Below are 15,468 nucleotides of genomic sequence, written 5' to 3'. Positions count from 1 at the left end.
GCCTACCATCTCTCTGGGACTCCGTCTCTCATCTGTCATATAGGCATAATGATCATAGTGTGCTCCTTCTAAGGCTGGGAGAACCAGGAGGCCAAGGTGATGGGCTATGGACGGTCAAAACAGCTCCAATCCTGCCTCCACCTGGGGCTGGTGTTTCAAGTCCATGGTGTGTGAATGGAGCTTTGATGTCTCCATTCACACACAATGCTTTGTGCTAAAATAGACTCCCCTCTGCCCTTCCCTTCCCCACAACTGTTTCCCCTCTGCACCGTGCATTGGTACCTGTGAGAAAGAACTGTCCCATTCCCAAATCATCGTCCCCACCCCAGCCCCCAGGCCCTTGGGTGGTGAGACCCTTGATGGGCAGTCTCATGCTTCTGTCCAGGGGACCTTCCCACCGTTGCTCCCCTGCATGGAGACTAAGTGGACTCTTCTATTCCCTGGCCATCACAGGGTCTACAGTGCACGCATCTTCCTCATTCCTCCATGTTCCCCAGATGACGATTTCATCTGTGTCTCTTCCCACATACTCCCAAATGGACCATCCCAGCCCTAGAACCCGAAAATTGTTCAGAGAGCGAAGGCCAAATTGCCCAACCACCTGCTGCAGAATCCTGCTCCAGGACTGAAGTGTATAGTCCCTATCAAAATAAAAACTGGAGGCCAGGCGCGGTGGCTCATGCCTGTAATCCTAGTACTTTAGGAGGCCAAGGTGGGAGGATCGCTTGAGCCCAGCAGTTCAAGGCTGCATTGAGCTATGATCGTGCCACTGCACTCCAGCCTGGACAGAGCAAGACCCCATCTCCAGAAGAAACAAACAAACAAAGAAACAAAGAAAGCCAACAACTGGAAACATCCTCCTCTAGAATGGTGGTCAGGAACATCTCCCCGTCTTGTTCCCTGATGTCTCTCCAGCACCTAGAACAGCGCTCAGCACGAGGACACACTCATTAGGGTTTTGTTGAATAAATGACTCCTTTGACATGGCAATTCCACTTCTAAGAATCTTTCTAAAGAAATATTCACACATGTGCACAAAGCTGTGTGCACAATAATGAGAGGAACAAACAACTGGGGAACGTTTGCAAAGGTTTATTAACTGTCAGTGACTGATACAGGGGAATCGGATGAGGGGAGTACATGCTGAACAGGAAACAGAGTGAGGGGGGCTTGACCAGGACGCATGGCAATGGGAAAAGCAGATGGGAGATGCTTATACTGGTACTTGGTGTGTGTGTGTGCGTGTGTGTGTGTGTGTGTGTGTAAATGCAGAGGAAAAAGTCTGAAATTAAACACTCAGAACTGCCCTCAGTAGTCACATCTGGGGAGAGATGAGGATAGTGCTGTTCTATGGAGAGAATACCTGACAATACTTGTTTTCTGACGTAGGTGCATGGATACACAAACCGAAATATGCATTCAGTATGTCTTGCTCATCAATTATAAGGATAGTATCTAACAGAATGGCACACTGTAAGAAAATACAATGGAAACACTAACATCGAACTCTTGGCACACTAAGAAAAATGACGCTCAAGTTTCACCGTTGTGAACACTTGCTTTCACTTGCTATGCACCTGATGACGAGGGAGCCGCAGCCATGCCCATGTTCGTGAAAGGTCACCACGTTCTGCTTCTCATCAAGGGCATGTGTCGTATCCCCCAGGCTGAGGCGAGAAGAGGGAAGGAAAGTAAGTGACAGCGAGTTCCCACTGCCCAATAACTCAACCTCAACTCCTCCTGACCTGCAGACCCTGCACACTCTGATTCTGCCCTACCCCAGGACCTGGACACGCCTTCCATGGTTCCTCGAAGTGAACCATCTGCTCATGCCACAGTGACTTCCTCGCCTGGTTTATGCATTCCTAGGCTAGAAGAAGGTGTGGCCACATATCAGGGCTGACCTGGGGTTTGGGAACCCACAGCATCCTGGGTGGTGAGGATCCCTGGATATACAGGGTAGGGAGTAGAAAGAGCATGGGAAATCTCATCATTCAGCCTCAATGCTGTACAGTAGAAAATTATGAGAAAGGAATGATTTGGGAAACAAATGACAAGATGGGATACCAGTACCATAACAGAATAGCACATCTGCAGGGATGTGGAGGGTGAGCCGAAGGTTCACTTACGGAGTTACTCGTCATCTTCCTCAGGGTCACTGATCTCTTCATAAATCACCAGCTGCTTTCTCTCACGCAGTCTGTGGGTCCAGGCATGTTTCCCCCTTTTGGGTCCTATGATGGAGAAGAGTTGGAAGATGAGGGTTGGGTACGTTGAAGAGTGTTAGGCTCTGTTTTCTCAAAAAAAGGAGATGCCTCCTCCCTCCCAAGTGCCCATGGGCCTTCTTTATCCAGTTTTTCACATTCTCTGGCTTAGAGAGGCTGAGGCCTTAGACCCACACCAATACACGACAAATACCAATTAATGTTTTAGCTTCTGGCTCCTTCTGTTGTGACGTTTAGATTACCAACCTCTTCACTTACGGGAACATTCACCGATACCTCCTTTCATTCAGCACGTATTTGTTAAGGGCACACAGGCATACCTTGTTTTATGGCACCTCATTTTTATAGTGCTATGCAGACACTGTAATTTTTTGGGGGGAATTCTCACCAATTTTACACTTTTCCATTATTATTATATCTGTTATGGTGATCTGTGATCAGTGAGCTTTGATGTTATTATTGCAATTGTTTTTGTTGTTTTTTAGTCTTTTAAAATAATTTATTTTTGTGGATACACAGTAGGTGTATATACTTATAGGGTACGTGAGATATTTTGATACACGTATGCAATGCGTAATAATCACATCATGGAAAATAGGGTATCCATCCCATCAAGCATTTATCCTTGTGTTACAAACAATCCAATTACACTCTTTTCGTTATTTTTAAATGTACGATTAAGTTATTATTGACTATAGTCACCCTGTTGTGTGTCAATGTTCTGGGGGTAACAGGAACTCCACCTAGAGAAGATAACGAACGTAATTGATCAATGTTGTGTGTATTCTGACTGCTCCACCAATGAGCTCTTCCCCATCTCTTTTCCTTTTCTTGGGCCTACCTATTCCCTGAGATACAGCGATACTGAAATTAGGACAGTTAACAATCCTAAAATGGCCACTAACTGTTCAAATGAAAGGAAGAGTCGCATTCTCTCACATTAAATCAGAATCTAGAAATGGCTAAGCTTAGTGAGGAAGGCATGCTGAAAGCCGAGACAGGATGAAAGCTAGGCCTCTTGCACCAAATAGCCAAGCTGTGCATGCAAAGGAGAAGTTCTTGAAAGAAAGAATAGTATATAATGCAAAGGAAAAGTTCTTGAAGGAAATAATAATACTAATACCCAGTGAACACAAGAATAAGAAAGCAAAACAGCCTTACTGCTGCAATAGAGAAAGTTTGAGTGATCAGGATAGAACATGAAACCAGCCACAACATTCCCTTAAGCCAAAGTCTAATTCAGAGCAAGACCTGAACTCTCTTCAAGCCCATGAAAGCTGAGAGAGGTGAAGAAACGTGTGAAACTAGCAGAGGTTGGTTTGTGAGGTTTAAGGAAAGAAGCTGTCCCCATAACATAAAAGTGCAAGGTGTAGCAGCAAACACTGATGGAGAAGCTGCAGCAAGTTATCCAGAAGATCTAGCTAAGATCACTGATGAACGTGGCTACACTAAACAACAGATTTTCAATATAGATTAAACAGCCTTTTATCGGAAGTAGATGCCATCTAAAACTTTCATAGCTAGAGATGATTGACTCCAACTTTGAAAGAAGTTCTAAAGTGGCTAAATGCTATCGAATAGCATCACATACTACAGAGAAATCTTTCATGAAAGGGAGAGCTAATCGATGTGGCAAATTTCATTGTTGTGTTCTTTTAAGAAACTGCCACAGCCACTCCACCCTTCAGCAACCACCACCTTGATCAGCCAGCAGCCATCAACACCGAGGCAAGACCCTCCACCAACAAGAAGAGTGTAACTCACTGAAGGCTCAGAAGATTGTTAGCATTTTTTAACAATAAATTATTTTAAAATTAAGGTATGTACATTTTTAGACATAATGCTATTGCACACTTAGTAGAGTACACTATAGTGTAAACATAATGTTTTTATGCACTGCGAAACAAACGAAAAACAATGTGTGTGACTCACTTTATTGCAGTGCTCTGGAACCCAACCTGCAATATCTCTGAAGTACACCTGTATTGGGTATCAGGCATTGAGCTGAGTAAGATATGATCCCAGGTTATCACAGATAGAATCGCTTGAGCACCTTTCATGTCATCAGGCCTTCAGGATTTAATTTAATGCCTCCAAACAATTTACGAACTATGATTCTTTATTTCCATCTTATGGACTAGGAATCTGGAGCTGAGAAAATTTGGAAGACTTGTCCCAAGTCACGTGGTTTTTTATATGGATGACAACTCCAGTCTGCATCTCTGGAAGTCATGTCTAACATCTCATCTGGAGCTGGGCGAGCTCTTCAGCCCAGCCTGGACCCAGGCTTGTCTGGGATCCATGCCACACACCCAGTCCACACACCTGAACATAGCCAGAAAAGCCAGAGAAGTTGTTCCCAAATCATTTCCTCTTACCAGATCTCTTATTAATCTTCTCAGAAATATTTGCTTTTCCTGGGGGGTGCAGTTGTTTCCCATCGTTTTGTGGGCCAGATGCTTCTGACACTCCCTTCGAATCATTTTCGTCCTCTGCTGGCTTCTTGGGCATGATCTTTATAATGTGAAGGTTACAGATAAACAGTATCAGTGACATTTCTATAGTGCTTTAGAGCTTACAAAGCGTCTTCACATGCATTACCTTAATGAATGTTCTCAACAACGCGGGGAGAGTTACACTTGCCTAAATGAGACAAACCTGGGAGATTAGAAGCAAAAGGAATGGCCTAAATGAATGCAGTTTCCAGGGCTAGAATGCTTATCTTCACACTCTTTTAAGACTGACATTCGTGGAAACAGCAGAAATCTCCATGTAGTTGAGAGTGTAGTACACAGAATATTTGGAGAAAAATAGCATTCTAAGAATTCACAAGGTCTACAAAAGGAAGAGCTTCTATAAAATACAAGGGATCCCATATAAGCTCGTAGACAGCTGCTGGGAGAGTAAATGTAAAAACATAGGGAGGGGACAAAACACTGCTGGGAAAGATGGTGTGGGGAGATGAATACAGGGAAGGGAGAGGTAAAGAAATGGTTTGCTGAAATTAATCTAGGCAGCAAAGAAAGCAGTACCAGATCTGGCATACCACCCTACCGAGGCACCAACATTGAATGTGGAATTCAGTGAGGTGGTACCCATACCAATTCTGGTTACACTGGGATGTGTCACTGACCAACAATATTAAGCTACTCTTTTTTTTTTTTTGACAAAGTCTCGCTCTGTCACCAGGCTAGAGTGCAGTGGTGCGATCTTGGCTCACTGCAATCTCCTCCTCCCCGGTTCAAGCGATTCCCCTGTCTCAGCCTCCTGAGTAGCTAGGATTACAGGCAGGCGCTACCACGCCCTGCTAAGTTTTGTATTTTTAGTAGAGATGAGGTTTCACCATGTTGGCCAGGACGGTCTCGATCTCTTGACCTCGTAATCTGCCCGCCTCAACCTCCTAAATTGCTGGGATTACAGTCGTGAGCCCCCGCGCCCGGCCCTTAAGCTACTTTTTACTCAGCTTCCTCACTTATGAAATAGTGAATAATACATGTAAAATAAGCTAAGGGAAAATCCTCTCTGAGCTTGTAAACATTGTTCAAATGTAATAATAATAACATTGAATACCTTTCTGGATCCTTCTTTGAATTCGTTCTCCATACTGGCAACCCAACTCCCAGATCCCTTTACCTTCTAAACCAGAGCTGAATCTGCACTTCCAGAATCACTCATTCAGGGGCCTCTGAGGGATCCCCTGGGCTGGGACTGGGGCTTCTCGGATGCCCCAGGTGCAGACAAAGCCCTCAAGGAGCTCAAGGAGGGGCCAACAGTCAAAGCGATTCCTAAGCCATGGGAGTGGCCCCGGTAACAGAGCAGAGGCCAGCTGGTCCTTCCTGTTGCGAGAGTGGGTGTCTCAATGGAAGCACCAGTAGGCCCTATGGGGTAAAGCCCTAGTGAGCAACATCTGAACTTCATAAACAAATACAAACGTGAATGAGCTTTAAATGGCTTGGAGCTCTGGATTAGACTACCACTGACACTGTGCCCCAGGAAAATTCTTTAACATCTCTGTACCCCGATAGCCTCATTTTATTATTATGTTGCTGATAACTATGGTCTATAACATGAACTATTATTCTTTACTTCCATTTCATGGACTAGGAATCTGGAGCTCCGATAACTTAGAAGATTTGTGCCAAGTCACATGGCTTTTATATGGATGACAACCGAAGTGTGTGACTCATTACTATTTGGAGATAATAAAAGAAACAATGTCATAGAGGTCTTCTTATGGATTAAATTAATTAATCCATGTGAACTGCTTAAAATAGTATCTGGCATCACTATGAAAACAAAAGAAGTATTAAGGATCACAACTGTTAGTATTATCAAGCCGTCGGTGCTACATAAGTTGTTGTGATAGACATGGGGAGAAAGAGGCAATGAGGGCGTTTTTGATATTCTCCCTGTCTTATCAGTGTTCACATCCATGAAAGGAAAAAGGTTCTCTGGTCCTTTAGATTTGAGAGATACTCACCTTCGGGATGATTCTGTGGAGCCTGCCGAAAGTCATCTGAGGATGTTCAACTGAAAGAGAACACATCAGAATTTTTCTTTGTTGGTAAAGATTTCCAAACTCTGGAGAGACTTCCGTTGCATGAGGGCATTCTGCAGCAGAGGTTATGAGTCCACTCATTGTTGAGGAGTTATTTGAGATTTGCTTCTGAATTATGTTTAGTCATGGTTGGTTCATTTATCTGTGGCATCAATTCAGAATTTTACATCACATGGTTTCTCAAATGGGGGTTAAATCCCATCACAGTCTCATCTTATTCCATTACATATCTTTTACTTTTTCCCAAATAATTAAATTGATTGGTTGGGAATGTAAACTGTAATCACTCAAGATGTGCAACAACTAAAAATCACTGTACACTTCAAATGGGTGGATCTTATGGTATGTGAATTAAGCTGTTAAATGTGTGATGAACCATGGATGATTTAGTCCAGTGGCTCTGAAATATTTTCAGTATAAAGACACTCCTTTAATGTCAAAACTTGGCAGATACTCAAGCACTGGAGTTTCAGATCTCTTATAGTGATTGTGGGAGATGGTTGATTCTGGCCTGTTTAGCTGGGGAGTAATAGAGATATTGAAGACAGTTTAGACACTCTGACCTTGTCTTATGATTGTATTGTCAGAGCAGAAGAGCAAGTAAACAAATATGTCCCCTTTCTATTCCTGAAATGCACAAAGATCTCTACCCAAGAACCTGTCTTTTTTTCATCCTATGTTATCTCCGCTCACTGACAATTGGGAAAGCTCTCTGTGTGTTGGATGAGGGGTCACTCTTTCAAACTCACTTCCAAGCTCATCATGGAGAATTGGGGTTGTTTGGGAATGTGAAGACTATTTGGTTTCAATAAAGTATGGAGAAACAGCAATCTTTATTACATGTGTTCATCACCCTCTCTCTTAAGATATTTATCCAATATCTACATGCTGTTAATGAAACAATGTCTGGAAGTTTTTGGTGGATCTATACTTTTAATAGTTTCTTTTTTTTTCACTTTTAAAATTGTCTTAACTGTCCTTTGATTCATTAACAGTGTTTAGCTATCTGTTTGTCTGTTGTTGGTGTATAAGAATGCTTGTGATTTTTGTACATTGATTTTGTATCCTGAGATTTTGCTGAAGTTGCTTATCAGCTTAAGGAGATTTTGGGCTGAGACAATGGGGTTTTCTAGGTATACGATCATGTCGTCTGCAAACAGGGACAATTTGACTTCCTCTTTTCCTAATTGAATACCCTTTATTTCCTTCTCCTGCCTAACTTCATGTCTAAAACACCAAAAGCAATGGCAACAAAAGCCAAAATTGACAAATGGGATCTAATTAAACTAAAGAGCTTCTGCACAGCAAAAGAAACTACCACCAGAGTGAACAGGCAACCTACAGAATGGGAGGAAATTTTTGCAACCTACTCATCTGACAAAGGGCTAATATCCAGAATCTACAATGAACTCAAACAAATTTACAAGAAAAAAACAAACAACCCCATCAAAAAGTGGGCAAAGGGCATGAACAGACACTTCTCAAAAGAAGACATTTATGCAGCTAAAAAACACATGAAAAAATGCTCACCATCACTGGCCATCAGAGAAATGCAAATCAAAACCACAATGAGATACCATCTCACACCAGTTAGAATGGCAATCATTAAAAAGTCAGGAAACAACAGGTGCTGGAGAGGATGTGGAGAAATAGGAACACTTTTACACTGTTGGTGGGACTGTAAACTAGTTCAACCATTGTGGAAGTCAGTGTGGAGATTCCTCAGGAATCTAGAACTAGAAATACCATTTGACCCAGCCATCCCATTACTGGGTATATACCCAAAGGACTATAAATCATGCTGCTATAAAGACACATGCACACATATGTTTATTGTGGCACTATTCACAATAGCAAAGACTTGGAACCAACCCAAATGTCCAACAATGATAGACTGGATTAAGAAAATGTGGCACATATACACCATGGAATACTATGCAGCCATAAAAAATGATGAGTTCATGTCCTTTGCAGGGACATGGATGAAATTGGAAATCATCATTCTCAGTAAACTATTGCAAGAACAAAAAACCAAACACCGCATATTCTCACTCATAGGTGGGAATTGAACAATGAGAACACAAGGACACGGGAAGGGGAACATCACACTCTGGGGACTGTTGTGGGGTGGGGAGAGGGGGAAGGGATGGCGTTGGGAGATATACCTAATGCTAGATGATGAGTTAATGGGTGCAGCGCACCAGCATGGCACATGTATACACATGTAACTAACCTGCACATTGTGCACATGTACCCTAAAACTTAAAGTATAATAAAAAAAAACAGTGTTTAGCAAGAACAACATGTCTTTTAAAAAAGAAATGTTTCAAACACACAGAATAGTATGGGGAATAATATTGAGTTCAGTCGCATCTCAACATTACCCCATGACTATGTTAGATCTGATTTATTTATTTAGAATGTTAGAAACACTAGAAACGGCCTGGGTGCAGTGGCTCACGCCTGTAATCCCAGCACTTTGGGAGGCTGAGGTGGGTGGATCACCTGAGGTCAGGAGTTTGAGACCAGCCTGGTCAACATGGTGAAACCCCATCTCTACTAAAAATACAAAAATTAGGTGGGCATGGTGGCGGGCGCCTGTAATCCCAGCTACTCAGGAGGCTGAGGCAGGAGAATCGTTTGAACCCGGGAGGCAGAGGTTGTAGTGGGCTGAGACTGTGCCATTGTACTCCAGCCTGGGCGACAAGAGCAAATCTCCAGTTCAAAACAAAAACAAAACAAAACGAAACAAAACAAAACACACTATCAACAAGTCATGACTGAAGCTGTCTGTGCAGCACTCACCAATCCCTGCCCCCGCCCCTTCTCCATTTACAGCCAGTCTCCTCAATCTGATGCCTTTTTATTCGCATTTATGTTTTTATGCATTTACCATTTACTTATTATCCATGAAAGTACATATTACTTTTGCATGTTTTAGAATTTTATGAATGGCCTCTGTAGTTAACTTTCTGTATGCAATTTTTTTTTTCACTCAACCCTGATGTGTATGAGGGAACAAATGCCAGAGGATCTTTCCCAGGTAGCTGAGCTGAAAAGCAATTGGGCTTCAGGAGACCTTTCCAGCCACTTCCCATCTACTCACCCTGAATCCTGCGGTTATGGTCATTATCAAAATCATTCCCCTGGAAGTCTGTGGCCTGTTTATTACACATGAAAGGTGGGAGGGTGACTTTGAAACCTAGAAAGAAGCAAAATGTTTATTCCTTAAGGGACAAACTTAGGCCTGGCATGGTGGCTCATGTCTGTAGTACCGGCACTTTGGGAGGCTGAGGCAGGAGGATTGTTTGAGGCCAGGATTTCAAGATGAGCCTGTGTAACATAGAGAGACCCCCATATCTACAAATTATAAAATAAAATTAGTTGGGCATGGAGGCATGTGCTCATATCCTCAGCTACTCCATCGGCTGGGCAGAAGGATTGCTTGAGCCCAGGAGTTCGAGGCTGCATTGAGCTATGATTGCACTACTACACTCTAGCCTAGGTGACAGAGTGAGACTCTGACTCAAAAAAAAAAAAAAAAAAAAAAAAGGGAGAGAGAGAGAAAGAGACAAGCTGAGAGGAGGAAGGTAGGGTGGGAGGTGTGCTGCAATGCCACAGAGACAGCTGGGCTGATCAGAACAGACGCCTAAGGGAGAGAAAAGTGCAAGGTCCAGGTACAAGCTCCACTATGGCCAGTCCCTGCCCTCAGCTCTGACAGGATACAGAAGAGCAGAACCCCCAGAAGCTGCCTTGCGATTTTTCCCTGCACAAAAGGAAAATGTGGGGTACTTTCTGCAGCCTAAGAAGTAGCCAAAGCAGGAAAAGGGATGCTCATGTATCCCCAGACTTGTCTGTTCCTAGAACTTTCTGTTACCTAGTTTAGTCATGGCCTTATAGTTTCTCTTCATATACACATAGCTGATTTTCTCCGAGTATTTCATCTTTTTCCACTCTTTCTTAGAGAAGTATGTGGCAATATCATCAAAGGCCTAAAAAAAATAAAATAAAATTTGTCAGTGACTCAGCTAGGTATGTCTGCCATTCAGCTGGAGCCGCTTCCTGTGTGCTGGATCTGGGAAGTGAGGATGATAATCCGTCCTGGTTGATGCCATGGCTAACTGAGAGACCATGGGGGACCTACCCTAGCTTCTCCCGTGGCACACATTAGGGCTTTAATGCTGCTGTCTGGCTCTCTTCCCACCTTCCAGAATGGACTGAGAGTTACCAAATGTAGAGCAAGGTCAGAGACTTGTCTCCAGGGATGCTAGGTGATGACAGAACACAGGTGGGAGGCTCCCAAGGGTCCAGATCTCCCCCGAGACCCTGCTCCTTGTCCCCAGTACCTCTGTCCTCCCCTCCTCAGAAACCTGGTCACCCTACTCTGTCCCCTGGACCACTGCTCTGCCCCCTCCAGGTCACGTCACCTTGCTTCTCTTCTCTGATGCTTTAGCATCATCCCTGGGTCTCTTTGCAAAGGTGTCGTCTCCGTTCATGGCACCAGGAGCAGTCTCACCTGCAAGAGAAACAGCCTGAGACTTTCTAGCTACAGGACCCTTGGTCCTATGGAGGGAGAAATCAGTGAAGCCCGGCCACACTCAGTCACCTGGAATTAGGGGTTGCATTTCTCCATTCGGGGCTTACCTGTCCATGGGTAAGGACATGGAGAGAAGTCAGATGAAAACAGGGAGCCTGGAGTCTCTGGGAGAAGTATTGCTTGGGGATGACAGGTTTCCTAGCAGCCTTGAGTCTTTGGGAGGGGGTTGGCTAGTGTTGTTAGTAGTTTCCCTGGGGCTAGGCTTACCCTGAAAGATGTACAGACCCTTGCTGGGGAGGCAGGGACGTGACTGTGTAATTTTATTGAATGGGGGCGTTCTGACACCCCCACTCAATAAATAAAGGGAGGGAAGTGAGTCCCAGACATAACGTGGTCTTTCTGGTGATGGATCTGATCAGGCAGAGGGATGGGGGGGTTCTGTTCTGTTGAAGAGAAATGACCTTCACTAATATGAACAGATTTAGAAGCTATTACTGGGTTATTTGTAAATTATTAGAAGGAAGAGAGCTAGAATCTCTGAGATTACAAGAGCCTGCCATCACTTAGAGAAAATGTGGGGTGTTTCAATTTGCAGCAATCGGCCAGGCGCAGTGGCTCATGCCTGTAATCCCAGCATTTTGGGAGGCCGAGGCGTGCAGATCTCTTGAGCCCAGGAGGTTGAGACCAGCCTGGGAAACATAGCAAACCCCTCATCTCTACAAAAAAAAAAAAAAAAAAAAAAAAACAACCACACAAAAAATTAGCTGGGGGCGGTGGCACAGGCCTATAACATCTCAGCTCTTTGGCCAAGGGGGGGCGGATCGCTTGAGCCCACGAGGTTGATACCAGCCTAGCCAACCTAGAAAAACCCTCTACTAAAAAAAATAAAATAAAATAAAAAGTATTAGTGGGGGCGGGGTGGTGCTCGCCTGTAGTTCCGAGGCCGAGGCAAGAGGATCTCTTGAGCCCAGGAGGTTGAGGCCAGCCTGGCCAACATAGCAAAACCCCATTTCTACTACTAATAATAACAACAAAAATAATAACATCAGCGAGGTGGTTCTTGCCTGTAGTTCCGAGGCCGAGGTGGGAGGATCACTTGAGCCGAGGAGGTCAAGCCCAGTTCGGCCAACATAAGGAAACCCTGTCTCTACTAAAAAGAACAACAACAACAAAACTAGCAGGGGCGGAATGGCACACATCTGTAGTCCTGAGGCCAAGGTGTGAGGATCGCTTGAGCCCAGGAGGTTGAGGCCAGCCTGGCCAACATAGTGAAACCTGGTTTCTACTAAAAAAAAAAAAAAAAAAAGCATGGGCAGGATGGTGCACTTCTGTAGTCCCAGGGCCGAGGCGGAAGGATTGCTTAAGCCCAGGCGGCAGAGGCCAGCCTGGCCAACATAGCAAAACCGTCTGTACTAAAAAAATAAAAAATAAAAAAAATTAGTGAGGGTGGGGTGGTTCGTGCCTGTAGTCCCGAGGCCAAGGCGGGAGGATTGCTTGAGCCCAGGCGGTTGAGGCCAGCCTGGTCAACATAACAAATCCCCGTCTCTACTAAAAAAAAAAAAAAAAAAACAGGGGTGGGATAATACAGGCCTGTAGACCCAAGGCCGAGGCGGGAGGATCCTCCATGATGATCGTCCTGAAAGGCATTAGTTGTCTTTCAGTCCTCAAGATTTTCGGAACCCCAAGCACTTGACGGCCCTACAGAGGCTTCCTCCTTTTCTATCTGCCCCGATTAGCCCATCTAGGGTGTCCCTTAAAGAGAACCTACTTCAGAGACAAAGCAGTGGTTGCGAGGTCGGCAGCAGTGGTGGCGAGTTGGCAGCAGTTGGTGACAAAGTGTGGCTGGAGGAGGAGAAAATATTCTGCAATGTCATTGCTCCAGGATGATGGACCAATCAGGGCAGTTAGTGAACTCCATCTGGCCAATCAGAAGTCAGAACAGTAGGCGGGACAAGCCAAGCTGATGTGGGGTCTATCAGTCTAGGCTCTAGGGACAGAACCTTCTCAAAATGGAGGCAGAAACTCTGACTTTCCCGCCTAAAGCATCCCCTGGGATTGGCTACTCCAAGTTCAGAGTACGCATGCTCTGATTTTCTCTTTGGAGTCTTCCCAAATCAGAGTACGCATGCGCTGATTTTCTCTTTTCATTTTTCCTATCCCTCCCCACCTCCTCGGTGGTGCATTGTTATCCAGTTTTAATAAGGAGTGTATATGAAGCAGGTCATCATCTCAAATCCTTCCTGTCAGTTTCTATCTTTTTCAGGTATGGGATTTTTTCCTAGGAACTCTGTAGTGACGTAAGAAATTTGGGCCGGTGCGGCGGCTCACGGTTGTAATCCCAGCACTTAGGGAGGCCACAGCTGGAGGATCACTTGAACCTGGGAGGCAGAGGTTGCAGTGAGCCATGATCATGCCACTGCACCCCACCCTGGGCAACAGAGCAATACCCTGTCTCTTTTCTCTACAAAAAAAATAAATAAAATTAGCGAGGTGGGGTGGTGTGCCTGTAGTCCGTTACTCAGGAGGCTGAGGTAGGAGGATAGCTTGAGCCCAGGAGTACGAGGTTGCAGTGAGCCATGATCTGGCTACTCCTGCCTACCTGGGCCACAGAGCGAGATCTTGTCTTTAAAAAGAGAGAGAGAGAGAAAGAGAAAGAAAGAAAAATTTCAATGAGCCAGTCCCAGTGGCTCATGCCTGTAATCCCAACACTTTGAGAGGCTGAGGCAGGAGGTGGAAGGATCACTTGAGGCCAGGAGTTCCAGAACAATCTGGGATACATAGTGAGACCCCCATCTCTATAAAAAATTTTTAAAAAAGAAATTTAAACAAAAAAAAACACTTCTACACTTCCATATATGTTTTTTTCTAAAAGACCAAAGAAGCAGAAATATATTTTACCCATTGATATTAATAATATTTATAATAATAGTATTAAAAAGAGTATGTAATTAGGGCCCACTGTGTTCATCAGGGAGCTCATAAGTCAATTTGTCTAAGAAGTTTCCCCTACCCCCATCCCTAGTACCTCCAACAAGTCCCCATTCCTCTCTGGGCTTTCCACCTACAGCCCTGATCTCTCTAAGATCCTCCCAGGATTACAGCAAGCTCTCTTAGGGCAGGAACAGAGCAATGGCCCTTGAGCCCAGCACAAAGCCTTTTATGTGCATCTTCCCATTAATTTTCACAACCTTCTCTGGAGTTAAATACTATTATCATCCCCAGTATGCAGATGTTGAGACTGAGGCTCAAGAGAATTAAGCAGTCTGCTCAAAGTCACATAGTCAGTGGGTGACAGAGCTGGGATTCACCCCCAAGATAGAATTGAGTCCAAAGTCTGTGCTTTTATTTATGTATTTATTTATTTTTAATTAAAATAATTTTTTTTTAGAGATGGGGTCTTGCTATGTTGTCCCTGCTGATCTGGAAGGAACTGCTGGCCTCAAGCAATCCTCCTGCCTTGGCTTCCCAAAGCACTGGGATTACAGGAGTGAACCATCCCACGCCCGGCCTCAAAGTCGGTGCTTTTAATTACTCTTCTATATTGCCTCGACTACTTGTTGAATGAATGAATGCATCTTACAACTGCAAAGGTTCTTTAACATAATTTACATAACTCCTTACAATCACCCCATATTCCCTCTGACTGCTGTAACAAATTACCGCAAACTTTGTGGCATAAACAACATCAATTTATTCTCTCACAATTCTGGAGCCCAGAAATCTGAAATCAGTTTCACTGAGTTGAAATCAAGTTGTCAGCAGGGCTGTAGTCCTCCAGAGGCTCTAGGAGAGAACCTGTTCCTTGCCTCTTCCAGCTTCCCGTGATTGCCAGCATTTCTTGGCTTGTGGCTTGATATGGATTGGCTCTGTGTCCCCACCCAAATCTCATCTCGAATTGTAATCCCCACAGATTACAAATCCCCACGGGGGTGGTTTTCCCCATGCTGTTTTTGTGACAGTGAGTTCTCATGAGGTCTGATGGTTTTACAAGCGTCTGGCATTTCCCCTGCTTGCATTTCTGTCTCCTGCTACCATGCGAAGAAAGTCTTTGCTTCCTCTTCACCTTTGGCCATGATTGTTTCCTGAGGCCTCCCCAGCCATGCAGAACTGTGAGTCAGTTAAATCTCTTTCTTTTATAAATTACCCAG

General features: G+C 44.3%; 1 protein-coding gene across 2 annotated transcripts; it reads right to left on the bottom strand.

The window, feature by feature from the left end:
* Positions 1,077-13,129, bottom strand: SSX1 (SSX family member 1). Of its 2 annotated transcripts, NM_001278691.2 has the most exons (9): positions 13,089-13,129; positions 12,385-12,470; positions 11,211-11,299; positions 10,661-10,775; positions 9,890-9,985; positions 6,706-6,755; positions 4,604-4,739; positions 2,130-2,234; positions 1,077-1,667 (listed from the first exon to the last, which is right to left on the bottom strand). In NM_001278691.2, exons 3-8 carry the CDS (start codon positions 11,277-11,279, stop codon positions 2,134-2,136), a joined length of 567 nt encoding a protein of 188 aa, NP_001265620.1. In that variant the 5' UTR covers positions 11,280-11,299; positions 12,385-12,470; positions 13,089-13,129; the 3' UTR covers positions 1,077-1,667; positions 2,130-2,133. The 2 variants fall into 2 exon arrangements, with proteins under 2 accessions (NP_001265620.1, NP_005626.1); NM_005635.4 differs by lacking the exon at positions 12,385-12,470.

Source organism: Homo sapiens, chromosome X (genome assembly GCF_000001405.40).
Source record: "Homo sapiens chromosome X, GRCh38.p14 Primary Assembly".
NCBI classification, from domain to species: domain Eukaryota; kingdom Metazoa; phylum Chordata; class Mammalia; order Primates; family Hominidae; genus Homo; species Homo sapiens.
Note: the sequence above shows the minus strand (reverse complement) of the source record. Positions and strands in the feature narration are given on the sequence as shown.